The sequence below is a fragment of the Homo sapiens genome, chromosome 4, assembly GCF_000001405.40.
Source record: "Homo sapiens chromosome 4, GRCh38.p14 Primary Assembly".
NCBI lineage: Eukaryota > Metazoa > Chordata > Mammalia > Primates > Hominidae > Homo > Homo sapiens.
In genome coordinates this window covers 122,151,380-122,177,587 of record NC_000004.12, presented here as the reverse complement: position 1 = coordinate 122,177,587, position 26,208 = coordinate 122,151,380, and the positions used below count along the sequence as shown (strand labels likewise).

The following is a 26,208-nucleotide window of genomic DNA, read 5'->3' as shown; positions in this document are numbered from 1 at the left end:
ATAGGGATATAATATAGGATTTTATAAGCTATTTATAGAAAGTTCGTAGGATTCTATAGGTCACTTACAAGACCTTGGTGTTGTTCTGAGTGAGATGGGAAGCCACGGGAAAATCTGGGAAGAGAGAGGAATAAAATGATCTTACATTTTTAAAAGATCTGGCCAGTGTATTAAGAGCAGGTTGAGGAACAAGTGCACAGAAGCAGGGAGACTAGTTAAGAGACTATGTGATAAAACAGGTGGAAGATGATGGCGACTTGGGCCAGTGTGGGGAGAAGTAGTTGGATTCTGGATGTAGGATGAAAGGAAAGCTGACAAGATTTGATGATGACCTCTGGGACACAAAAGACAGCAGTCAAGATTTTTGGCCTGAGCAATAGAAAAGATAGACTTGCTGTTGATAAGATGGAAAATACCGTGGGGTAGGTTTGGGTGGGAAGATCAGGTGTTTGGTTGAATATTTCAAGTGTAAGAAACCTGTTACACATAAAATTGGAGACGCTGAGTAGGCTGCTAGATATTTGACCCTAGTGGTCTGAGGAGAAATCAAGGATGATGACTGAGGAAAGGTTTAACGCTAGTGAATGACAGAGTTTAATGTGTTTAAAACTGGGTTTATTACTATCAAATCTCAGAATACTTCATACATATTAAAACACCAGTGTGTTTCCTAGAGTCTGTTTAAGATTTAAACTACAGCAAGTAAAGGTGATGAAGTGCTTGATATAACAGTTTAGAGATTATTTTAGCTGTTAGTCATGTGATAAATCTGAGGAAACAGGAGGGAACACAGGCCAAAGAACTACGGCAAAATATTAGGAAAATTACATCTTCTAAATATTTGTTTTTTGAAGGATTGGGCCTTTATCATTTTTTTTTATCAATTATCCTAAGAAGTCATAATAGAAAAAACCTACACTGGAGTAGAAGCAAAAGAATTTACCTGAAAAATTGTTTAACAAGTAAATTACTCATAAAAATATTACTATATGAAAGATACTATGAAGTGAAAGTGAATGTTGCTGATTCATTTTCCTTAGTTCATTTTTAAAACATGAGTGGTAGTGTACTTTTAATTTGTTGGTTTAAAATTTACCTTTGTTTGGAATATTTTCTATTTTATATATATTTTTACAAACAATTCAAATTATTAATTTTGGTAAAATGTGATGCCTTACTGAAGAGTATATACCTCTCATTTAAATCACAGCTAATGCTACAAAAGTTAATAATAATTCTCTTCACTCATTTTTAAAAATTAAACTTTTCTTTTTCTTTTTTTTTTGAGACAGAGTATCGCTCTGTTGCCCAGGCTGGAGTGCAGTGGCACGATCTTGGCTCACTGCAACCTCCGCCTCCTGGGTTCAAGCAATTCTCCTGCCTCAGCCTCCTGAATAGCTGGGATTACAGGTGCCCACCACCACGCCCAGCTAATTTTTTGTATTTTTAGTAGAGACAGGGTTTCATCATGCTGGCCAGGCTGGTCTCAAATTCCTGACCTCAGGTGATCCACCTGCCTCAGCCTCCCAAAGTGCTGGGATTACAGACATAAGCCACCGTGACTGGCCTAAAAATTAAACTTTTCTAACTGGTCATATCTAATTTTAATTAGTTTTCATAAAATCCTGATTATATGATTGAACATTTTAAACACATAAAAAATGAAAACTCACCATGTTGCTTCTGTTTTGGGTTATACATTTTCCACCACCGAAAAATGATGAATCCATCTTGAATCCTAAGAAAGGGAAATTACAAAATTAGAATTTAAGTAACAATTTACTTAACTCATTTCTTAGTTATTCCAAAAGGAAGCCAATTGATAATGAACAAGGAAATACAGGAAATCCTCAAAAGAACATTGGCATACATAAACACACATCTTTTCGTGAACAAAGACTTATGAAGTATGTTTCATGATCTTCTAGTTAAAAAAGGAAGAGACTTTGCATAGCTAAAGATTCTTGATGCATAAAAATTGCATATATTTATCATATACAACATGTTTTGAAATATCATATTCTTCTAATTAATGGTCACAGGAAAATGAAGCGCTAACAGAAATGTTTTCCTTTTTAAATGATATTTTTTAAAATAAAAAATTACAGATACCTAGTTCTACAGGAGAGAGGGAAAAAAATTATGTAACAATAAGCCAAATCTTGAAAGAGGGATGTTAGCACACAAAAGAGAAACTTTTAAGGATGTTCCTTCATTTCTCATAAATAACCTATCATCTCATGCCCCAAAAGGATGAACTTACAGTCTCTGAGCTTTTTATTTTTCACTTTTGATTGGGAAATAATTTTAGACTAGTATAGAAGTTGTCTCCTCTAGTTTTAAGTGAGGTGTGAGCACTGCCAAACTCTAGCACCTCTCAATTAATTCAAAACTTTTGAATTCTACCTAAGTCACAAATTTGAAGAAAATCACAAAAATTGAGTAGGCTTTTCTTTCAAGACTTACAGAAGAAGGAACATTTCAATCATATCCTTATTATATTCATATTTGTGTTTCCTTCTTTGAATAAAATTAAGAGTTTCTAACAAATGCTAAACAATTCTATAAACTTATTATCTCTAATAAGGAGCTAATGGATGACAGACCAACATCTCTAAACCTTGCTGTATATAACGAATGACTACTATGAACTCTGTGATATAAAATGGTCAGGCAATTTAAAGGTTCACTTTCTCATCTAGAAATGAAAGATTATTCATTTCTATAAACAGCTATTTTTATATTCTGCTAAATTAATCCACTGACAAAATATTTTAAAACATCAATTCATCAAGTATGATTTACTGGAAAAAAAAATTTGATTTAGTTTTATTTGAAGAAGCAAGTCACATTCAATAAAATATCATAAAACATTTTAACAATATTTTTAAAGTATGTTTAACATGGGTCCTTTTCAATTTTTTAATTTTGTTACCTAATAGACATGTCTTCTGTAATGTAATAGATTTCACGAACCATGACTTTTCCAGAAAGAACAGAGAAAGAGAAGGAACCTGTTATAGGAAGGAAAAAACAGCAGTTAATGTAACTGTTTTAACAGACAGTAGGGCCCTTAAAGTTTAAAATAACATTAGCACTAAATTTATTCAATAAGCATCTCTTCTCACTCTCTTCCTGATACCCTTACAGCCTTACTGATTTTCCATCATTCTTTCCCCAATAAAACAAAAAGTGCCATACATATGATCACTATGAAGTAAGCTACTAAATAACCTGAAGAGGATATTAGTTTAAGTAACTGCTTTGTATGGATAATTCCCTTAATTATGCACTGCCATTAAATAAACCCAAAGTAGTGACTAATTCACCATTTTTCTTTAGAATCTTGAGTGACTGCAGGAACCAGCCATTGCCTCAAATTAATGGAAGACGATTTATGTTTGAAAGAAGTTTTATGTCGACTAAAAGGTACTCAATTATAAGGCAGGTTAGAATGGTTCTCTCCAGTCATCTCTCCCCATCCCTTTCTCCCACTGGTTTAGGGCTTTCAAAGCACATAGCTTCCTAATACACCCTCCTATTTACCTGCAAATTTCCTACTTTTAAGTAGTCAAAAATTTAATTAATAAAGCAGGCCATAAAATGAAACATACAAGATGATTCTAACTTACATATTTTTAAAGTATGGGTTACTTTAAAAATAACCAAAACTACATTGAACATGAAAAACTTTCTTTGAATGGTGGACTCACAAGAAATTTCTATTTCCACATTTAATACATATCCAAGTTTTTCAAACTCTTTTAATGAGCATCTTTTATAAGTTAAAAAAAAGTCAAAAAGTTACTACAGAAACACTTAAAGAAGTAATAAATAATGGGGTAAAGGACATAACCAAGCGGATATTATCATGAAGTAATGGAGTGCTGTGTGAGAGAAATTCCAGTTAGATTATCTTAACTATCATGAAACAAAGGTAAATTTCTAATGCTACTATCTGTTCATGAAATATAAATTTATAATATACATCTGCTATGGTTTGAATGTTTGTTCCCTCTAAAACTCACGTTGAAACTTAATTCTCATTTTAACAGTGTTAGAAGGGTGGGAAATCTGACTACAGTATTTGAGATGTGAGACATTTGGGAAGTACTCAGGATTAAATGAGGCCATGATGTTGGGACATCAGTGGCTTTACAAGAGGAAAAAGAGACCTGAGCAAGCAAGCTCAGCCCCCTCACCATGTGACACCCTGTGCCACCTCAAGACTCTGCAGAGTCCCCACTGGTAAAAAGGTCCTTACCAGATGCACCCCCTCAACTTGGGACTTCCCAGCCTCCAGAACTATCAGACATAAATTGCTTCTCTTTATAAATGACCTAGTCTCAGGCATTCAGTTATAGCAACAAAAAATGGTAAGACAACATCTCAAGATTATAAGGAAGAAAAAAATTCAGTGTTAACTCAAACTCACCAATATGGATATAGCCATGCTTGTATAATCTGTTAAGAACTAGTGTTAAAATAAGACCAACATTCCGGGAATTATAATATGTGAGGTAAATAATCCATCCACAGGACAAAATGGTAGCTGTTGGGAGGAAAAAAATCAGAAATAATAGGATTTACTTCTACACAGTAATGTGTCCTCTTACAATTTAATACTTGGAATTTTAAAACCAGAGGTTGATTATACTTTATCCAGCTTTCTTCCTCTTCTTCATTCATAATCCAGAAAAGCATAAATTCCGATCAGATCCATTAGAGCAATGTTTCAAGTATGCCTGCTTTCATTTCTGTTTACTTTATCACTGCTTTGTACTGTTTTAGTTAATAAACATTATGTAAAAAATATGGCCTGGGAGAAGAAAGGCCATATTTCTGAATATTCTGAAACAAATTCACCTTTATTAGGCCAAAAACTCATCTATACACAAGTTCATTCCCAAGTTATTTCCTGAAACAAGCTATAGCCACTTGTAAAGGAAGAAAAGTAATGATTTTTAAAATCTCTGCTTTAAAGAAAAACCTTCTGCTTTTTAAAGCTGTGCTTTAAGTAAAAGAAGTCGGAATTTAGTATAAAGGCATATCAAATAGGCCACCTGTAACTAGATATTTTGCTGTGATGGGTAAGACAATAAGTTATGATGTCATTGAATATGCTACAGTAAATGATATTCTAAATTTATTTTTTTAATGAAAGTATATGGTTACTTATAAAATTCATATTCTCAAAAAATCTAGTTCATGAATATACAAAAGGCAAAACAGGAAAACATTGTTTTGATAATCAATTTGCTCTTACTTATCCTTTTCAAAAGTATTACTTCTAAATTATGAGAAAGTTATAGAAAAGCAACTTAACCTGTATAACCCTTTAGTAACATCATATTAAGTCCTTAACTTTTAAACAATTATGTATTATGGATAAAGCAAAACAATCACTGAGAGTCAACATAAAATACAATTCCCAGGGCAGCTTAGATTGATGGTAATAGCTTTGACATAGCAAGTGCTATGATTTGCCATTTTAAAAAAAAAAATTCTAGAAAAAATATTTTGTAAAGTTATTTTGATGATATGCCATTATATCTCAAGTTTAAAGTCATTTTGTATAAATTTTTACTATAAATCACTGTGTCAACAGTAGGTTGTTATATGAGTCCTTCAGAATGGCAACAGGCATTTGCTGAGAAAATATGCTTTCAATATTAAACAAGCCAGGAATCGTAGTCTTTTCATTATATCACGCCCCCCTATGCTCATAGTAAAACAGAGGGATTAAACAATTGCTCAATGTTTTTCTGCTTGTTATTGTTGTTTTTTTCTTAAAGAAAGGAGGTGTTTATAACAGGAAAAAGTCTGAAAAATTCTAGGTGATAGGAAAGGGAACAGACACTTCATCTCTACTTATATTCCTACCCACATCCTTGGGTGTCATGAAAGAAGCATAAGCATCCCCTCAGAAAAAAAAAAAAAAAAAAACCTGTGTAACCCATATAAATTACTTAATCTTTATGGGCCTCAATTCCCCAACAGGGAATTAAAAGGAAAAGAATAAAAACCTACCTTCATAAAGCTACTCTGAGCATTAAGTGAGACAACATATGTACAACCTGGCATCTAGCACACAGAAGATGCTTAACATATTATCATTACCCTTTGTTTCCTCTCTTTCCCTTCCTCATTTCCTCTGTTTCCAATTCTTATGCCAAAATTAAAGTCAAATACCATTCTCCCATGAAAACTTCCAGAGCAGAAACAACCTACAATAATTTCTCCCTTCCCTGTATTATTTTTGTATTTCTCCCTCTCATTCATTCATATTCACTCATTCATTCACTCATATTTCCTTTCTCCCTCTGCTATTTAGTTTAAGCTATTTCTATATACCTAGAAAACTTCTAGATTATACCAAAAAATTATTAATAGCAGATCTCACTGCCAAGTGCACAAGGAATGAGGAAAGAGATTAAAAGATTAGGCATATAATTCTATTTTACTATAAAAATAGAATTATTTTTACAGTAAAATTATATTTGAGGATTTATTATTTCTGTAACAAAACAAAAGTGTTTGGGTGTGTGTTGAGTCGAGAAGTTGGGGAGGTGACCTGAAACCAGAAAGATAAGCTAAGTGCAGTGTTCTTCTTCTCTTTCCACTTCCCCTAAGTCAGATGAGAATGCAGCCTAAGAAAAAGTAGAGCATTTCAGAGCAGTTTCCAGAACAAATGTTCAAGAAATATAAATAACAATCTTCCTTCCTAAAAATAAATAAATGGTAGTGTTAGTGTTCCAACTTCAGTCAACCACTGTTTAAAATCTGGCAGCTGTTAATCCATACTTAAAACACAATAAAATAGAAGAAAAATATTCCACTTACCAACAAGGAGCCAAACAACATTGGAATTGTGTTCTGTAAGAAAATCTTCTAATTGAGTTATACTAGGAACAATACTCTCATTCTTCCTTTGATCCATTACTAAAGTTTTTCCAGAACAACATCTAAAGGCCTAAAAGATTTCAAAGGTTAAATTTAGAATCAGAGATTTATAAAATTGCAACAGAAATCATTAAGGGAAAAAAAGGGTGAATTTAATAAACGAAGTTGATTAAATCACCTTTCTGTTTCCTTCAATGATGAGAATGCAAAAATACAACAAAAATGCCCACATTTCTACTAAAATGTAAGAGAATGGATCATACTTGTAATGTCCTGATTTCACCATTCTAAATGTAAGCACTAACTAAGGTTCAATTACTATACTCTGGCTCAAAATAACAGGAATGTGATTATTCTTTTTTTTTTTTTTTTTTTTTTTGAGAAGGAGTTTTGCTGTTGTTGCCCAGGCTGGAGTGCAATGGCATGATCTCGGCTCAGGCAACCTCCACCTCCCAGTTTCAAGCGATTCTCCTGCCTCAGCCTACCTCGTAGCTGGGATTACAGGCATGCGTCACCACGCCTGGCTAATTTTGTATTTTTAGTAGAGATGGGGTTTCTCCATGTTGGTCAGGCTGGTCTTGAACTCCTGACATCAGGTGATCCGCCTGCCTCGACCTCCCAAAGTGCTGGGATTACATGCGTGAGCCACCGCGCCCAGCGTGATTATTCTTTAATCAAAAACATCTCAACAATCAGAAATACTAGCCATCTACATTAAACAAATTCATCCAGACTTGTCCCAAAGCCACCACTTAATATTATCATATTAAGCTAGATAAATCCCTCTTACCCTCCATCACCTCTATGTATTCTCCATTATTCCATGGGGAAACAATCTTCCTAGTTCAGATTCACTCTAGGTAGTCTGAACAGTAAAGAGACCTCCTGCTATCAGATACTTAGGATAAAGAAAAATTCACTGTAGAACTGTGACCCAACTTCTGACAAATATTTGTATGCATACACATATGTGTGCATATACATATGTATGTATATAGATATGTGTGTATATGTATATATGCACACACAGTAGGATGAATATGAATATTGAGATGTACCAACAATAAGAAAAAAGGAACAAAGTTCATATTTTATGATCCAAGAAACAAGAAAATATTCCTTCATAATACCATAGTAACATATGACTAACCCAACCTACCGATAACAAAACTATCTCATAATAAACCAGAAAGAGCAAAAAAAAAGCTAGACTTAATCACAAAGAGACCTACACAGTTAATACTACTTTAAGACTAAACAGCAGAGGAGATTTTTACAGATAACTACAAAAACAGCAAATTTTTTCTGCAGTAAAGAATAAGGAAAGATAACTTTCTAATTGAAATTTGGTACATCTGACTTAACTTTCTAAACCTGTTTTCTGTTTATTCACCACAACTCTTATCTTTGGACATCACAAAACAAGTTTAAAAATTGGATGAGGCCAAGAACCTATAATCCCAGTGCTTTGGGAGGCAAAGGTAGGAAGAACTCTTGAGGCCAGAAGTTGGAATCCAGCCTGGGCAACACAGTGAGACCCCATCTCTGCCAAAAAAATAAAAATAAAAAACTAGCCAGGCATGGTGGTGTGCACCTGTAGTCCTAGCTACTCAGGGCATGGGGGCAGGAGGATTGCTTGAGCCTAGGAGTTCAAGGTTACGGTGAGCTATGATCATGCTACTGCACTCCAGCCCAGTTGAGAGAGGGAGACCCCTTCTAAAATAAATAAATAAATAAAAATTGAATGAGATAACATTGCCAGACACAATCTACAACACATTATGTTTCATATTTCTACACTGTTGAAATCTTATAATTTACAGAGGCAAATTAAACATCTCTTAAGAAAATAATACAGAGCTCAATAACAGAAGGTTTATTATTAACAGTGATATGAAAACCTAAACGCAGGAGCTAGAGAAGATTAAGAAAATGTTTTCAGTTTACAATAATCCTTTTTTTTCCTACAGTGTAGAAACTGAGTAAAAAATGTTCTCGTATTTTTCAAAGCTTTGAAAAATCCCTGTCAGCACCTTAAAATTTGACGGCTAACTTTATAACATGAGCTTTCTCTTTCTTCCCTCTTAAGTTTTTTTTTTAACTTTAAAAAGGAAGCAAATACTTTGAAAAAAACTATCTTAAAAAATCTAAAACCAAATATTCACATATTACATAATGGTTTACATATCATAAAATAACATATGTATCAATTTCATACTTATTTTTACCATTCTACAGATTGCTAGCCAGCACATCACTAAGGAGGAAAAGACTCTGGAAGTTTCATGAGAGATGTGTCCCAGCATTCAAGTCTCCACATAAAAAGGAAATCTGTTTCTAATCAAATTCAAGGGGAAAGGACCTATCCACCAAAAATACCTCATCTAAAATAATCATGACCTACCACAGTAACAAACCATAGTGAAAAAGAATGTGGGAAGAGGTTGTTTAGGCTGTAAAGACAGAAACCCTACAGTATCAAACAAGTTTCAATCAATATTTCCCAAATATTAGATTAATGCAAAGCCTTTAAGAGAAATCAACAGATAAAGGCTCAATATTTAAAAGAACATATTTTAAGCAAGTACAGAAATAAAGGCTAAGATTTAAAAAGCCCCTAAAGTAAGAAGTAGATATTCTGGTATAAAGAAAGTAAGGCAACACTAGACACAGAATCCAAACAAAAATGTTGTATGCTCAGCCACATGAAGTAGTATATCACCAATTCCTTAATAGTGAGAGACTGGAGACTTATGGTAATCTATTGCAAAATCTTCATGGAGCAAACGGTGGAACAAAATACAAACTGGTTGTTTCCTCTTCCTCTACCCTTCCTGAACAGTTCAATCTAAGAGTTGCAAGGTGAAGCAGAGTAAAGCATGCGTCTGCACATGGGGAAGAGAGAAACAGAAGTCTCAGCGGCCTAGAGCTGGATGTCAGAGCCTGATATGAATAAATTAAGTATCCAATGGCATGACGGACAAGCTTGTGGAGTAGTGGCAGCACCTAAGGGTGTCAAAACCAGAGTGAGATGAGGAGCATACACTTGTAGGGGAGAAGTTAGGCACAGGATGCTGGAGCCTGAGTGGAAGGAGAAGAACATCCATGGCCAGTAGGGGCAGGAGGCGGCACAGGAGAAGCAACCAGATTAAGGTTTCAGAGACTGAGAGGAATGAGAGCCTGAGCAGAGAGAAAAGAGCATCTACTCAAGAAGGCTGCCTGGCATAGGGTGTCAGAGCCCAAGAGAAAGGTCCCAGACCCAAAAGAGCTAAGTAGGGTTTCCATGCAGGAGAACAAGCTGAAAAGTATGTTGCGGCAGAAATAGGATAAGGAGGACACACCTGGGAGATGAATAAACATATTAAGGATAATGGGAGCCATTATTACAATGTCTCACTGTTTGAGATATATAAAGGAAGAAAATTAGAATGAAACCTAAAATGGTAGATAAGAACTGGAGCTATGGTTTTCAATATAAATGGATATAGACATAAATATAGCTGTAAATGTATTTATGTACCGTATATGTGCAGGCATATGTTCACTAACAGGTCCTGAGAGCAACAACACCTCAATAAAAAGGAGCAGAAAACTTTCCTTCTAAAAGCTATTTTCTACTAAGAGGAAAGAGGGCCCCTTGCAAAAGTGGCTGATTCCACAACTAAGGGACAGAAAGTAAAGATAAGCCTTGTTTTCCAGAAAGGAAAGAAGTACCCAAAGAATGATATGAACATGTCAAAAGGACACAGAAGCCAGCTTAAAGAGGCTCCCGCTGGAAAAACCTGGGACAGACTAAACATAAAAATGAATGATAGAGAGCCAAATCATGAGTGAACTCCCATTCACAATTGCTTCAAAGAGAATAAAATACTTAGGAATCCAACTTACAAGGGATGTGAAGGACCTCTTCAAGGAGAACTACAAACCACTGCTCAAGGAAATAAAAGAGGATACAAACAAATGGAAGAACATTCCATGCTCATGGGTAGGAAGAATCAGTATCGTGAAAATGGCCATACTGCCCAAGGTAATTTACAGATTCAATGCCATCCCTATCAAGCTACCAATGACTTTCCTCACAGAATTGGAAAAAACTACTTTAAAGTTCATATGGAACCAAAAAAGAGCCTGCATTGCCAAGCCAATCCTAACCCAAAAGAACAAAGCTGGAGGCATCACGGTACCTGACTTCAAACTATACTACAAGGCTACAGTAACCAAAACAGCATGGTACTGGTACCAAAACAGAGATATAGACCAATGGAACGGAACAGAGCCCTCAGAAATAGTGCCGCATATCTACAACTATTTGAACTTTGACAAACCTGACAAAATCAAGAAATGGGGAAAGGATTCCCTATTTAATAAATGGTGCTGGGAAAACTGGCTAGCCATATGTAGAAAGCTGAAACTGGATCCCTTCCTTACACCTTATACAAAAATTAATTCAAGATGGATTAAAGACTTAAACGTTAGACCTAAAACCATAAAAACCCTAGAAGAAAACCTAGGCAATACCATTCAGGACATAGGCATGGGCAAGGATTTCATGTCTAAAATACCAAAAGCAATGGCAACAAAAGCCAAAATTGACAAATGGGATCTAATTAAACTAAAGAGCTTCTGCACAGCAAAAGAAACTACCATTAGAGTGAACAGGCAACTTACAGAATGGGAGAAAATTTTTGCAATCTACTCATCTGACAAAGGGCTAATATCCAGAATCTACAATGAACTCAAACAAATTTACAAGAAAAAAACAAACAACCCCATCAAAAAGTGGGCGAAGGATATGAACAGACACTTCTCAAAAGAAGACATTTATGCAGCCAACAGACACATGAAAAAATGCTCATCATCACTGGCCATCAGAGAAATGCAAATCAAAACCACAATGAGATACCATCTCACACCAGTTAGAATGGCAATCATTAAAAAGTCAAGAAACAACAGGTGCTGGAGAGCATGTGGAGAAATAGGAACACTTTTACACTGTTGGTGAGACTGTAAACTAGTTCAACCACTGTGGAAGTCAGTGTGGCGATTCCTCAGGCATCTAGAACTAGAAATACCATTTGACCCAGCCATCCTATTACTGGGTATATACCCAAAGGATTATAAAACAAGCTGCTATAAAGACGCATGCACACCTATGTTTATTGCGGCACTATTCACAATAGCAAAGACTTGGAACCAACCCAAATGTCCAACAATGTTAGACTGGATTAAGAAAATGTGGCACATATACACCATGGAATACTATGCAGCCATAAAAAAGGATGAGTTCATGTCCTTTGTAGGGACATGGATGAAGCTGGAAACCATCATTCTCAGCAAACTATCGCAAGGACAAAAAACCAAACACCACATGTTCTCACTCATAGGTGGGAATTGAACAGTGAGAACACATGGACACAGGAAGGGGAACATCACACACCGGGGCCTATCATAGGGTGCGGGGGAGAGGGGAGGGACAGCATTAGGAGATATACCTAATGTTAAATGATGAGTTAATGGGTGCAGCACACCAGCATGGCACATGTACACGTATGTAACTAACCTGCACGTTATGCACATGTACCCTAAAAAAGTATAATTAAAAAAAAAATGTGACAACATAGGTGCAACTACACTAGAAGAAACTATGAAGTAGTCTGAGGCTTGCACCTACTTACAGTGCATACGTTTGTATTTAAATGAAGACAATATTCAAATTCATGCTATAAATACCTTCTTCTATATTGGCATTTTGGAATATGGTCTAAATAATTATATTCTTACATATCACCATGAATGTGATAATGTAAAATGCAGAGACATGGGTGTATTTCATTAGCAACTCAAACACAAGAAGAAGCTTTACATTTCTAGGAAAAGTTTTGTATTAACATTTGATTACTTTATATTTTAATGCAAAAAAAAAAATAAAATAAATGATAGTAATGGATTACCACCCATTTAATAAAACAGGTATCTGAGTCCATACCAATATAATCAAATTTTGATGGCTAACAAAATTCTATATAGTCACATCAAAATAACTCTTTCCCCACACCCCAAAAAATAATTATTAATGACAAAGGGAAAAAGAGGAACTTTGAGAAAGGCAAGTTAAGTGATCAATGTAAATACCAGCAGCAATAGGATAAGTCAAAACTGTGAGCCTCTTAATAGAACACAGTCTCACTTCTGTGATATTCCTGCCAAAGATGCATATAGCTTGAATCTAATCTAATCAGTGGAAGGAGATTCTGGGGGAAGGAGAAGCAGCAACAAAACCAGACTTTCACTTTTATTCTGGGCACTCACATACTGTTTGTTTTACAACTGGCGTGTAATATTTCCATAATTTAAAAAGAAAAAGACAAAGTGATGGCTGGAGGACAGGATGCTGTAGTTGGGAAAACGGCTTTTTTTGCCTAAGCACACATTTCTTGGCCTCTCCTTATAACCATGGCCAAGGTATAGGTGTCTCCCAATCCCAAAATTCTAACCTAGTCATCTGTAACTCTATAATCACATCTTTCTTTCTATGGTTCTTAAATATTTGTATTTTGTAATTAACATGCAGATACTCACCAAGCAATACCAAACTCAGAGGCCTTCACATAAACTCAGAAATATCAGTTAATACCTTAGCAAGAATTATTTGATATGATAGCCTTGAGTGTAAAATGGAAAGAGGAATGCCTACAATGTTCTAGAATTGCAGGGAGGGGCGGAGACAACTACAAATAAGGAAGTAGACACAGAACACTAAAACAAAAGAGATTAGGGGAAAGGAGAAAGAGAAGGCAGTTATTATGGAACAACAGTAGAATCAAAAGATGCTGCTTCAGACTATATTGTTCCAGAAGCAGATCACTATATGGATTAAAAGCATAGACTCTATACTATGCTTCACCTGGGTTCAAATGTCAGTTCTGAAATTATAGCTGTGTGATTGTGGGCAAAATACCTAACCTCTCTGTACTCTGTTTCCTCATGTGTAAAGTGAGGACACTAATAGTACCTATCTCATAGAGTTATAGTGTGTAAATTGATAAGTTGATGTAAAGCATTTAGAACTTCTGGCACATCATAGATACTGAATTGTATAAATGTTTGCTATTGGCAGCCAATGCTATTGGTGTCTTGCCCATATACTGTTGGCACTCACCTCTACACAGGAAACCTGCTCATTATGAACACCTGTGATACCCTGCTGAGTGCTGCTTTCTGACTGCAAGGACACACTCAGCTTGCACTCCAGGGACAAGCGAGAAACGCCAGAGAGTTAATGTCAATTATGGCTAGGAAGTTGGTGGATTTAACACTCAAATTGTCCTTGCTCTTGGTTTGGGATAACTCCGATGGTAGTTTATTTGATGTCTTCAGAGTTCCCAATATGAGTGAACTCCAGGTGCCCACAGTGGTAACAGCCAGAATAATGCCCTTTATTCACTTCTATCCCTTTCTTTTCTTCCTTCCCCACTTCTACCAGTGTTTCCTATGATCATTTCCCAATAAACTATATACCCTTGAATCTTTATCCCAGGTTTGTTTCTGGGGAAACCCAAAACAAAGCACTGTGTTTTTATTATTTATAACTAGGCCTATCAAATCTAAGGACAATTTTCTTTACAAGAAACATGACTGTGTGCTTTAGAAGAGACCATGAAACCATATGACTGAAGGCGCACAATATTTAATACATAAGACTTTTAAAATCTCAATCCAGAGCATACATATGTGCAGGAACTAGCTTTTGATAGAAAGAGGAACATTTCTTTTATCAGAACAGGAACAACAGAGAAAGAATGAACCCAAATGCAAGGAGATTCTGTAGAGAAAAGAATGACAGACTCTGATTGCTTCCATATATTTTTAAAGTATGAGTCAAGTTCATATTTATTTTAAAACATTTTTACTTCATCCTTTTTCTTCTTATTACTCCCAGTTTTTTTTTTGTTGTTGTTGTTATAACCCCATTACCTTCTACTGTCCCTTTTCCTCTTCTATTTTTCTTAACATTTAATTTGTGTTAATAACAGCTAGCAGAAGGATGACCCTAGGGTGATAGCTGAAAGGAATTATGGATGAGAGGACTTTCGTCACCACAGCTTGACCCAAATCCCCCAACTCCACCCCATCTCAGCAAGATTTGATTAACTCAAAGAAGAAGAGTTGGAAAGAACTGGTTGATTACAATTTTCCCAATTCCCATCTGTGAACCTGCCCACAGGTCCTCAAGAAAGCTCAGTGCACTGGTTAATCCCCTTCCAGGGCTTCATGGCTCCTCTGAAACAAATATCCCATAAGTTGAACAGAACTGTGTGAAATAAGGTTTTCCTTTATCAGGCTTAAGCTGGAATATATCCATATAACATTACTTATCACTTGAGAAGACCTAACTGTGAAGAGCCACAGCTTACCCTGGCACTGTCATGGGAAAGTATATTTGATTTTGATTATTTGGAGCAACATAGAAAGTACAATATAACCTTTTCTATGTGTTTTTGCTTATCCATTCAATAAATATTTATTGGGCTTAAAAATTCTACCATACAGCTCAGAAATTCTGAGTATTAAGTTTAAGAGTTAGAATATTCATAATCTTTACTAGAATGTCTAACAATATAGAAAATGCTAAATAAATGCTGCTTGAATGACAACCTGTCTCTTAGTACTTATCACACTGTATTGTAATTATCGGTTTAGAAATGTATCTCCCCCACTAATGACTGCTCCTTAAGGATGTGCTTGCTGTACTCATTTGGGTATCCAATATCCAACAAAGTTCCTGGCATTGAGCAGTCTCTCAATAAATATTTGCTTCATAAATGAATGAAATAAATGCATCATTATAAAAAATACATCATTATGAGCTATTGTCAAAGATAGGCAAGTATTTCTAATGTATTCAGGGCCAAAGACACTCCTAAATGATCTTTTTTACCCTTAAGAAAATTTGATTCTCTGGTTGAGTGTTGTGGCTCACGCCTGTAATCCCAGCACTTTGGGAGGCTGAAGTGGGCGATCACTTGAGCCCAGGAGACCAGCCTGGGTAACATGAGGAAACGCCGTCTCTACAAAAAAATACAAAAATTAGCTGGGTGTGGTGGCAAGCACCTGTAGTTCCATCTACTGGAGAGACTGAAATGGGAAGGACACTTAAGCCTGGGAAGTCAAGGCTACAGTGAGCTGTGACTGCACCACTGCATACCAGCCTGGGTGACAGAGCAAGACCCTGTCTCAAAAAAAAAAAAAGAAAACAAAAGAAAAAAGAAAAAAATGGCTCTCATTTTCTAGAGCTAAGAAGAGATCTCATTACAGTATTTCTCACCCACCCCCTACAACCGGCCTGCCAAAAAAAAGTAAAGAAACAGAACATTCAATATTTTAACAACCCAATTCCAAATAGAACAAAAATGAAAAAAAAAATTTAATCGTACCCAAATCCCTCATGCAACAATGAAATCACAATCTTTGGACCTAAGCCATCCACAAATCTTCACACCATTATATTAAAGTCTTCTGGATTTCATCACAGTTCTTTAAGGGCTGGAAAATAAACCAACTTTAGAGCTCTCCTTTGAACTCCACCAACATACACTCTCTTCATCACCAAGTAAGGTTAAGTACCTGTTAGCACATAGCACCATTACTGTATACTAGAAATTCTGTGAATTATGTACTCTGCACAATCACATTTCTACATTGCTTTCTACATTTAGTGATCAATATTAAATGTTGCAGACCAAACGCTTAACTTGAAAACCTTTAACTGGTCTCTGCGCATATGTAACAAATTATCTTCAGATAATTTGTGTAGGGTTACCAATTCTAAAGACATTTATCTCCTCCTTAACAATTAAAACACCAAGTAATTGATCCAAATATCTCAGTAAATACCAAAACAAAAGATCTGCCTGAACAGATTGTTTATCTTTGCCATGGCCTAAGGAGATCCCAAAACAAAAGTAAAATACAAATCAGATCATACAACATTTTTATTCAAAATAAAGTTTCAAGGAGTGTTTAATTCATGTAAACTGTTTGTAAAGTGACAAAAATGGTCTAAGCACTAACCAAGCCTCAGGCAGATGGCCTGGAACAAATGACTTTGTGAAGTTCCTTCCAATTCTATGATGCTATACAGATAAAGTATACAAAATATGTGTCTACTGCAATTGAATACCTCACTTAAAATAACTATGTAAACTTTATACATTTAAGATAGTACTGGAATGTATAAAAAGGTTGACATTACTCATTACATGTACAGTGATTTGTAGGACCCTCTCTGCTTAAAAATTGCTCCCATCATGACACAACAAGGCCTAAAATTACACCACCCATTTATTTAAATAGAACGCTAACCAATATTCTTAAGAATGGAAAGATATCTTAATGGGATTTCAATAATACCTACCATTCATGATTACCATGTGGTATTAGTGTAAATTGATTCATTAGAGTGCTTTTCTCATTCACAAGCAGGACCTATGAATATTACAAAAAGCCTAAGATTCCCGAAGATGTGGAAAATCTTCAAAAGAGATGGGCGACAAATACAAACTTAGGCTCCTTAACAATTCTGGACAGGGCCAGCATCTTTGTGCACATAAATCAAAATTATATAATGTCCTATTCTGTTTATTCAAGCAGACAAAATAAACAATTATCCTCTTAGGTAAAATAGATTAGGTATAATCCTTGCTACCTAGGAAGGGTCACTCCAGGTCCTTTTCAGTCCCAGGATTCTATACACAACAAACACAATTTCACCTGTTAACTAGTTCTAAAGCCCAACAGAATTATGTGGTAAAATAACATTCAATCAGAAATAATAGAAATTGTCTGGTATCTTAGAAATAGAGTAGGCTTTAAAACCAGATTTGAAATGGAAAGCTGGCTTCATCCCTTTTATACTTCTGTTAGCTGTGAGCAAGCCTCTGAATCTCTTTGCGCCTGTTTCCAAATAGTAGGATGGCCATCTCTTCCTTGAAGAGATGCTGAAGGCATTAAAAACATAAAGCAAACATAAAACTCACAGCACAGCACTTGACAAAAAACATTATAACAGTAGTAGCTAAGCTACTTTTATTAATATTCTTAAAGAAAAAATCAATTCAACAACAAAGTGAAAGCTAAAAAACAATAAAGTCCATGGCAGTAAACAACGATTAAAATGTATTTCATTCCTTACAATAAGTAAAATAAAAACTTTTTTTTTTTTTTGGGACAGAGTCTCACTCTGTTGCCCAGGCTGGAGTGCAGTGGCACGATCTGGCTCACTGCAACCTCCGCCTCCCGGGTCCAAGCGATTCTCCTGCCTCAGCCTCCCGAGTAGCTGGGACCACAGGCGCCTGCCACCACGCCCGGCTAATTTTTTGTATTTTTAATAGAGACGGGGTTTCACCATGTTAGCCAGGATGGTCTCGATCTCCTGACCTCATGATCCACCTGCCTCGGCCTCCCAAAGTGCTGGGATTACAGGCATGAGCCACCCACCGCGCCCAGCCAAAAACCATATTTAATAACAGAATTGTACTTATAACCAAAAGAAATTAGTTGCCACAAATAACAATCAAGAAAGTACCAACATGAATAACATAGTTCCACAAGTACTAGTGAGCATGATTCTTAGAAGAAAATCAAATACTAGGCAAAAGAAATATTCAGGTATGGCGACTGATGATCCAAACACTATAAATCAGCAAATGAAACAAACATAATTTTTAATATCATAATCTATGCTACAAAAATGGTTCTTCATGCTTATATATCGAAGAACTCTGAATATCTAAGAAGTCATATCACCCAACCAAAAATGCTGTATTTTACCAAACCTCACCTCCATAGCCAGAAATTTATGCTGGTTCACCTAAATACTTATCAAAATAATTTTTTCAAAAACTATTTTTTTTTTGAGACGGAGTCTCGCTGTGTTGCCCAGGCTGGAGTGCAGTGGCGCAATCTCAGCTCACTGCAAGCCCCTCCTCCTGGGTTCACGCCATTCTCCTGCCTCAGCCTTCCGAGTAGCTGAGACTACAGGTGCCCGCCACCACGCCCGGCTAATTTTGTTTTTATATTTTTAGTAGAGGTGGGGTTTCACCGTGTTAGCCAGGATGGTCTCAATCTCCTGACCTTGTAATCCACCCACCTCAGCCTCCCAAAGTGCTAGGATTACAGGAGTGAGCCACTGTGCCCAGCCTCAAAAACTTAAAAAGCTGTAGAAAACATATCAACTAAGAGGACAGAGAGAGCTAACTACAATCTCTCTAAATCTAGAAGAAATCATGACTTTTAAATGTTATCTACTTTTAATGGTAATACTTTAGTGGTAATTACTACCTTCAGCATACTCCTTAAAATGGTGAGCAATACAAAGAGATAAATAGAAACTACCACGAATGAAAGGGTTAGTCCTCATACCATAAATTAATTAGTTATAGGGCTTCATTTATGCTTTTTTCATATTGGCTAACAAACACATTCTGTAAGTTTCTTTTAATCAACAATTCAATTTCTCACTTCCATTTTTATTTAAAATACTCTAAAACACTAAATAACACTAAAATGCTAGCATCAACAAAGTAAAATTCTAAAGGTTTTTTTGAAGTAAAACTATTTCTTTTTTCCTATGTAGCATTTAGGCTTTTCTCATATCTTCCAGTCTTAAGCCACTTGGATCAGGAACCCTCACCTGATACACAGCAAACTACCCACCCAAAAAAACAGGGACTTGGGAGACAGGGAGGGGAAAATGGTCACATGTGTTTACCAACACTCTCATCATATCAAGTTCAAAGAAAATATTTTTTTAATTGGAGTGTTGCTAGGCAGAGAGCCAAATGGATCCACATAATAGCCAATTCCTGTGAACCAAGAATATTACTATAACTGAAATTGAATTTTTACGTGACTATGACAAAAAAAGCTGTTGGTCTCCATCCAGCAGCTAAACTAGTGAGCCATCATGGAATTAAACCCTTCCAGCCCCAGTTGAGCCCCTAGATCAGGGGTCCCCAACCCCCAGGCCGCAGACTGGTACTGGTCTGTGGCCTGTTAGGAACTAGGCCACACAGCAGGAGGTGAGTGAGGATTACCACCTGAGCTCTGCCTCCTGTCAGATCAGCAGGTGGCATTATTCTCATAGGAGCACAAACCCAATTATGAACTGCACCTGCGAGGGATTTAGGTTGTGCACTCCTTAAGAGAATCTAATGCCTGATGATCTGAGGTGGAACAGTTTCATCCTGAAACCATCCCCCCACCAACCCCACCCCTGTCAGGTGCACGGAAAAATTGTTCTACAAAACTGGTCCCTAGTGCCAAAAAGGTTGAGGACCACTACCCTAGATAACTAAAGTCCCAACCTACATCTTTGCTGCATCCTCCTCAAAGACCCTGAGCCAGAAGCACCCAGTTTAGTCATTCCCAAATTTTTGATCCACAGAAATTGAAATAAAAAACATTTATCGGTTTAAACCCCTAAGTTCTGGGATAATTTGTTATTTAGCCATAGATACTAATACAAAGTATGAGAAGGGTAATTTTGCAAGAGATCTTCAAGGTATCTCTAACTTGATGATTCATATACGTCATCTTAAGCTAAACCACCTCACTCTCCTCCTCCTCCCTACTAAAAGATCAGGAGTCAGCAATGCCACATCAAGAAGGCTACTGATTACAAGAGTGAACCATTTCCTCTTTCTACCATAAGTCAGAGTCTCCTGCATAAACTTTGTAGAGTAGCCCTTTATCCTGCCTCCTACAAATTTATCTGTAATATATCATCATCATCATCTCCTTCCTTCCTGTCTCAGTAGAAGTCTACCTAAAGTACCCTTGACCTGAGCCCTTGTATTATATCCTTTCCAGTTTGTTCAGTGACTTTGCTTCACCAATTATTTTGCCTCATTCCTTTATCTTCAGATTTTCTTACTGATGACTCTTTATCTTCAGCAAATAAACATGTGCTTATATCCCTTATACCTTAAAAAACAAAAACCTTCTCTCAAACTCATAGCTTTAGCTATATCCTTCTCTATTCATTTACAACTAAACTTTCTGAAATAGTAAATGACATTAGCTATTTCAACATCCATGTCTCTTGCCCAGTGTGAATTAGCTTCACTTATAAAACTGCTCTTGCTCAGGTCATCAACGATTTCTTAAGTGATATGTCCAATGGATACTTTAGTTGTCCTCATCCTATTTGATGTCTATAGATGTCTAATACTCATTCCTTTTCTCTAAACTCGGTTCTTCCACTGACTTTTGTGACTCTCTTACCCAATCTTACTTCCCTGCCCACTCCTTTGAGGTGTATTTTTCTTTAACCTCACCCTTAAATGCTGTTGTTCTCCAACCTCATTTCTCTTCTATTTTCACTCTACATTTTCCTGAGTGATCTCATCCATTGCCGTTGCTTTTAACTATCATCTTTAAATTGTGACTCCAAAATTTACATCTCAAGCTGGGTATTCTGCTTAATTCAGATCCATATATACAACTCACTAATGACATTTCTTAGAAGTCACGGATGCCTCAGATTTAATGGACCAAACTGAACTCATCTCCTCCAATCATGTTCCCCAATCTACTGTTCTTCCTACACTTCCTACCTCAGTAAATGGCCCCAGAATCTACTCAGTTTCCCAAGCCAGAGAATTCATTCTAAGCATCTCAAAAGTATTTATTAAACATTAACATATGCATAAAGATGATGGTGGCTAGAAACTACCCTGACTTCATTTTCCCTCAAGCCCACTAAATCCTATCCATCTACCCTCTTTACATCTATTAAATCCATCTCCATTTCTTAATTCCAATATGCACTGCAGTTCTCATTTCCCACCTGGATAACTATAATAGCCTCTAACTAATCACCAGTCTTCAAAGCTCACCTCCCTCCAATTCATCACCTAAACAGTTCCCTATCTGACCATGTATCTTCTATACAAGTTCCTCAAAATTTTCTCAAATTAAAAAATTAATTTTGCTAAGCTCCCATATTATCTTTAATATGAAATACAGTATGCTAAAATTAAGTCTACAAAAATCCTCATTTCACCAGGCGCGGTGGCTCACACCTGTAATCCCACCACTTAGGGAAGCCGAGGCGGGTGGATCACTTGAGGTTAGGAGTTCGAGACCAGCCTGGCCAACATGGTGAAACTCTGTCTCTACCAAAAATACAAAAATTGGCCAGGCGTGGTGGCACATGCCTGTAATCCCAGCTACTCGGGAGCTTGAGGCATGAGAATTACTTGAACCCAGGAGGCAGAGGTTGCAGTGAGAAGAGATTGCGCCACTGCACTCCAGCCTGGGAGGCAGAGTGAAATTGTGTCTCCAAAAAAAAAAAAAAAATCCTAGCTTCCCACTGTACATTAATGCAGCATTCATAGAGAATCCTGCTTTACCAACTAAAATAATATAAAATTTATTATAAATTCTTACTATATGAGTAATGCTCACTTTCTAGTCTCTTACATAAACCAAAAACATACTTGCTTATCAAATAAAGAAAACATATTAATTCACAAAAAATGTTACCTTCTAAGAGAAAATGCACTACTGTAGTGTTCTCCAGGGCCATGAAGACCATTGCTCTATTACCAGAAGCCTGGATGTCTGACACATGATACTCAATAGCTAGTTATGAAATGAATTACACTGCTTCTTAATCACCTTTGATCATGTCTTCCATTATTCTCTGTAGAATTCATAAAAAATATACTTGAGTTCAGCCATACACAATATTCTATGAAAAACAAACCAAAAGTCAACTACTTTTCTTCATTTTCTCAATTTTTGTTTTTTGAGATGGAGTCTCGCTCTGTCGCCCAGGCTGGAGTGCAGTGGTGCGATCTCAGCTCACTGCAAGCTCTGCCTCCTGGGTTCATGCCATTCTCCTGCCTCAGCCTCCCGAGTAGCTGGGACTACAGGCACCCGCCACCACGTCCGCTAAATTTTTGTATTTTTAGTAGACACGGGGTTTCACCATGTTAGCCAGGATGGTCTCGATCTCCTGACCTTGTGATCCGCCCGCCTCGGCCTCCCAAAGTGCTGGGATTACAGGCGTGAGCCACCGCGCCCGGCCATTTTCTCAATTTCTTCTTAAAACACTTTACAAACATAGGTAGATTAAAGAGCAAGCAAAAGAGAGAACAGAATTTTGACACCTGTTAAGCAAAGGATTTCCCTGCTTTCTCCTGCCAATGCACAGGCTAAGCACATGACTTAATTTGTCAATCAGGTATCAATAGCTCAAAAGTCAAGTAAAATGACTAACAGGTTACATTACATATCACCACCACCCCACCCCCATTCCCTAGCAATATAGGCAGATTAAACCACAACTGAAGCAGAAAGTCAGAAGACCCAGCTACTTGGGAGGCTGAGGCAGGAGAATGGCGTGAACCCGGGAGGTGGAGCTTGCAGTGAGCCAAGATCGCACCACTGCACTCCAGCCTGGGCAACAGAGCGAGACTCCGTCTCAAAAAAAAAAAAAAAAAAAAAAAAAAAAAAAGTCTTTAACCGAAAATTTGACCTTTTTAAAACTTAGCCAAAAATACTTACCCAAGTTTTTTTCCAGAGTTTGCAACGTTCTGTTTTTCCTTCTACTTTTCTTCAGATAGCCTTTCTGCAGTGTTTCATCTTAACAAACCTGAAAAGTATGGCATTTTAACTAATTATACAAGGTATTCTGGCTTTACGAGCAGCATAACCATTTCTGATTATATGATTTCGTTACTTAATCATGCACAAACAGGACGAAACTCTTTTAGTCCAATATTACGTTTCCTTGTTTAAAGTTTCCAAACAACAAATACTCCTAAGTATAAAATAAAACTACAACTTCCAAACTGAAGCCTTCCAAAGACTCCAAAACCACTGTACTTAAGAGCATGAGTTTGGTAATCAAAGGTCCTAGAGATCAAATCCTATGTTTAAAACATAACTCAAAATGCACATTGAGAAAGTTTCTCTCAAACTGTTGGGTCCTTGCCGGCAAGAACAGTGCCATAATGTCCTTCCTGGCATACTTTTTATCAAATGAAAATCTTGCAAAATCACAGGGTGCTTGGGAGTTGGTATGGCATACTGACTAAGGGACTGCAAACGAGTCAGATTACCTGGTTTCAGTCACAGCTCTGACTTTGAACATGTTACTTTGTAGGTCTATTCTGTTCTTTCATCTAGAAAATGGGAATAGTAGACTTTACATTATAGGATTGTTTTGATGATTAAATGTGATAATATATGCACATAATTATATGTACCACTCAATAGTTACAAAGTATTCTGGTTATTCATCTATTTTTATACTTTGTATATTTAACTTGGAATAAAACAACTTCATTGCTATGCACAGGGTGAAAGCAGAAACCACTAAACCGGTTGAAACTTACAGGCGCTTAGACAGTTATAAAGCCCATGATTTCCTTAAAAAGGAAATTCACATGAACTTTTACCTTTAACAAACGTCAACACTAAGGCCAACAGGAAGGTAAAAAAAAAAAAAAAAAAAACGACAACAACTAATACTCTCCGGAAGAAAAATCAACTTCTCTTCACCTTCCTTTGACCAATAGGAAATTCTGCTGAAACGTAGTCTTCTAGAGTGCAGTGCAGCAAGCACCAATTCAGAATACAAAACACATCAATCCCAGAGAAGAAAGCGGGGGTTGTTCCAAGGCTTCCCCGCCCTCGGTCAACCGACCCTATATTAAGCAGCATGGGGTCTACTACAACCCAGTGCAGCTGGCAAGGCTGCAGTCCGAGCCTGCGGGTGCACGGTCCTTCCTGCCGAGTCCACACACCAGCAAGTGGAGCGCCTTACCATCACCCGCAGGAACTGCTCCTGTATCAAAGTCCCCAGCCATCCGACTGCCATGGCCCTTCCAGACTTTGCCACTGACCTCCAACCCTCGGTTTATAGGTGCCAGGGCTGTAGGTAAGGATGGCAAAGGAATATGAAGGAGTCGCCGCCGCAGGCAGCCACTACTAAGCCAAAGCTCTCAGACTCCGACCAGGTTGAGTTCCAGAGACACTGGAAAAAGGGGCTGACGACCTCAACCCCGTCTGGCCCGGCCCATCCCCTCACCTGGGCGAGTGCCGAGGCAGCCCGAAATCCCTCTGGCCTCTCTCCGGGGAACGCCGAGGGCCTTGGGCGGCGGCAGGGGCGGCGACGGCAGCAGCACCGAGCCGGATGCAGCCTGCGAAGCTCTGCCGGTGCCCACACCCTTTAGCCCCGCCGCCCGGGGCCGCCGCCCAGGTCCAGACCCTGGCCGCAGCCACCGACACCCAAGGGGGCGGAGGAGGAGGGGAGGGGTCCCAACCGAGGCCGGGCGGCACTGCGCCTGCGTCAGGCAGCAACGTCACACGCCAGCGTCGCCGGCGCCTCGAGGTGCGCCACTCAAGCCCTGCCCAGGAATCCGGCGGCGTCCCGCCCTGTTTCCTCCTCTCTGGGCTGCAGAAGGAGCCAGAACCCTGAATTTGAAAATCACTTTGCTACCCTAACAACCCAAAGGAAAAGTTAGTGCCTTCCTGATAGCAGGAGACAGATAAGCCCACTTAGGAGACGGAGGCTAACGAAAAAGGAGCATCGGATGGGTGTATGACGTGAAATGAGTCCTTAAGAAATAGAGATGCTGTTATGACATGATCAATAAGAGAGCTCGATTGTGTGAAGTGCTGCCACGCTGAATCTCTCAACTAAGTCTATTATTATGCTGATGATATTAATGAAAAGTAATTTGCTGCTCCTCTTTTTAAAGAGAAAGGCTCTTAATATTATTTAGCGGGTGAACCAAGGCAAACGACTTCTTGGAATTAGAGGAATGTCGCAGATATTTATTTGTCTGCGCTATATACTAGCAATAGTAAACAGTGTTTAGCAGGGCTTATTGACTAATCCTTCCAAAATCCTGTGAGGCTATTCTCATCCCCGTTTATCTCCATTTCACAAATTGAAAAACTAAGACACTGAGAGGTTAAATAACTTGCTAGAGAACCAGGGTTTGGACCCAAGAAATGTGGCTCCAAAGTATTACTGTATACTGCCTCTGAAGTTCCAAATGTCTAAATCTCTAGTTCTGACTTCTTTCCGGAGCTGAGGTACTTACTACAACCTTAATATTTCCACATGGCTGTTCCACTCTCACCTCAAAAGGAACAGATATGAAACCAAATTTAAGATAATGCCAGAAAACACACGAGGTACAACAATTAACTGTTATTGCATATAAGGAAATAGAGGCCCAGACAGAAGTGGTTTATGGAAGGACTGGATGAAAACCAAAAGGAGAA

At 37.5% G+C, this 26,208-nt stretch overlaps 1 protein-coding gene across 40 annotated transcripts in view, besides 4 other annotated features; it reads right to left on the bottom strand.

Annotated features, from left to right (window-relative positions):
* The window catches only part of BLTP1 (bridge-like lipid transfer protein family member 1), a 210,422-nt gene extending 185,165 nt beyond the window's left edge, over nucleotides 1-25,257 (bottom strand). For 24 of the 40 annotated variants that reach the window (XR_938783.2, NM_001384125.1, XM_011532325.2 and 21 more), the window contains exons 1-6: nucleotides 25,004-25,257; nucleotides 23,476-23,563; nucleotides 6,844-6,973; nucleotides 4,436-4,552; nucleotides 2,936-3,014; nucleotides 1,674-1,738 (exon numbers count right to left, since the gene is read on the bottom strand). Coding sequence is in view for 39 of the 40 variants with exons in the window: in NM_001384125.1 (NP_001371054.1) it covers nucleotides 1,674-1,738; nucleotides 2,936-3,014; nucleotides 4,436-4,552; nucleotides 6,844-6,940 (358 nt within the window). In the remaining variant the exon portion in view is untranslated. Of the gene's footprint in view, nucleotides 1-68; nucleotides 115-1,673; nucleotides 1,739-2,935; nucleotides 3,015-4,435; nucleotides 4,553-6,843; nucleotides 6,986-16,337; nucleotides 16,447-17,317; nucleotides 17,901-22,449; nucleotides 22,658-23,475; nucleotides 23,564-25,003 lie in introns of those variants that run through there. The other 16 variants (XM_047416252.1, XM_047416268.1, XM_047416256.1 and 13 more) reach the window with 8 other exon arrangements.
* Nucleotides 25,003-25,082: a silencer, noted in NCBI's record as "silent region_15664". NCBI's record gives its function as "represses an Ori minimal core promoter by ATAC-STARR-seq in GM12878 lymphoblastoid cells {active_cell/tissue: GM12878}" and the evidence as "EXISTENCE:reporter gene assay evidence [ECO:0000049][PMID:35858748]".
* Nucleotides 25,153-25,342: a silencer, noted in NCBI's record as "silent region_15663". NCBI's record gives its function as "represses an Ori minimal core promoter by ATAC-STARR-seq in GM12878 lymphoblastoid cells {active_cell/tissue: GM12878}" and the evidence as "EXISTENCE:reporter gene assay evidence [ECO:0000049][PMID:35858748]".
* Nucleotides 25,153-25,966: a biological region, named in NCBI's record as "OCT4-NANOG-H3K27ac hESC enhancer GRCh37_chr4:123072777-123073578".
* Nucleotides 25,165-25,966: an enhancer, noted in NCBI's record as "OCT4-NANOG-H3K27ac hESC enhancer chr4:123072777-123073578 (GRCh37/hg19 assembly coordinates)". NCBI's record gives its function as "activates a minimal SCP1, AML or CMV promoter by ChIP-STARR-seq in primed H9 embryonic stem cells {active_cell/tissue: H9 hESC(primed)}" and the evidence as "EXISTENCE:reporter gene assay evidence [ECO:0000049][PMID:30033119]".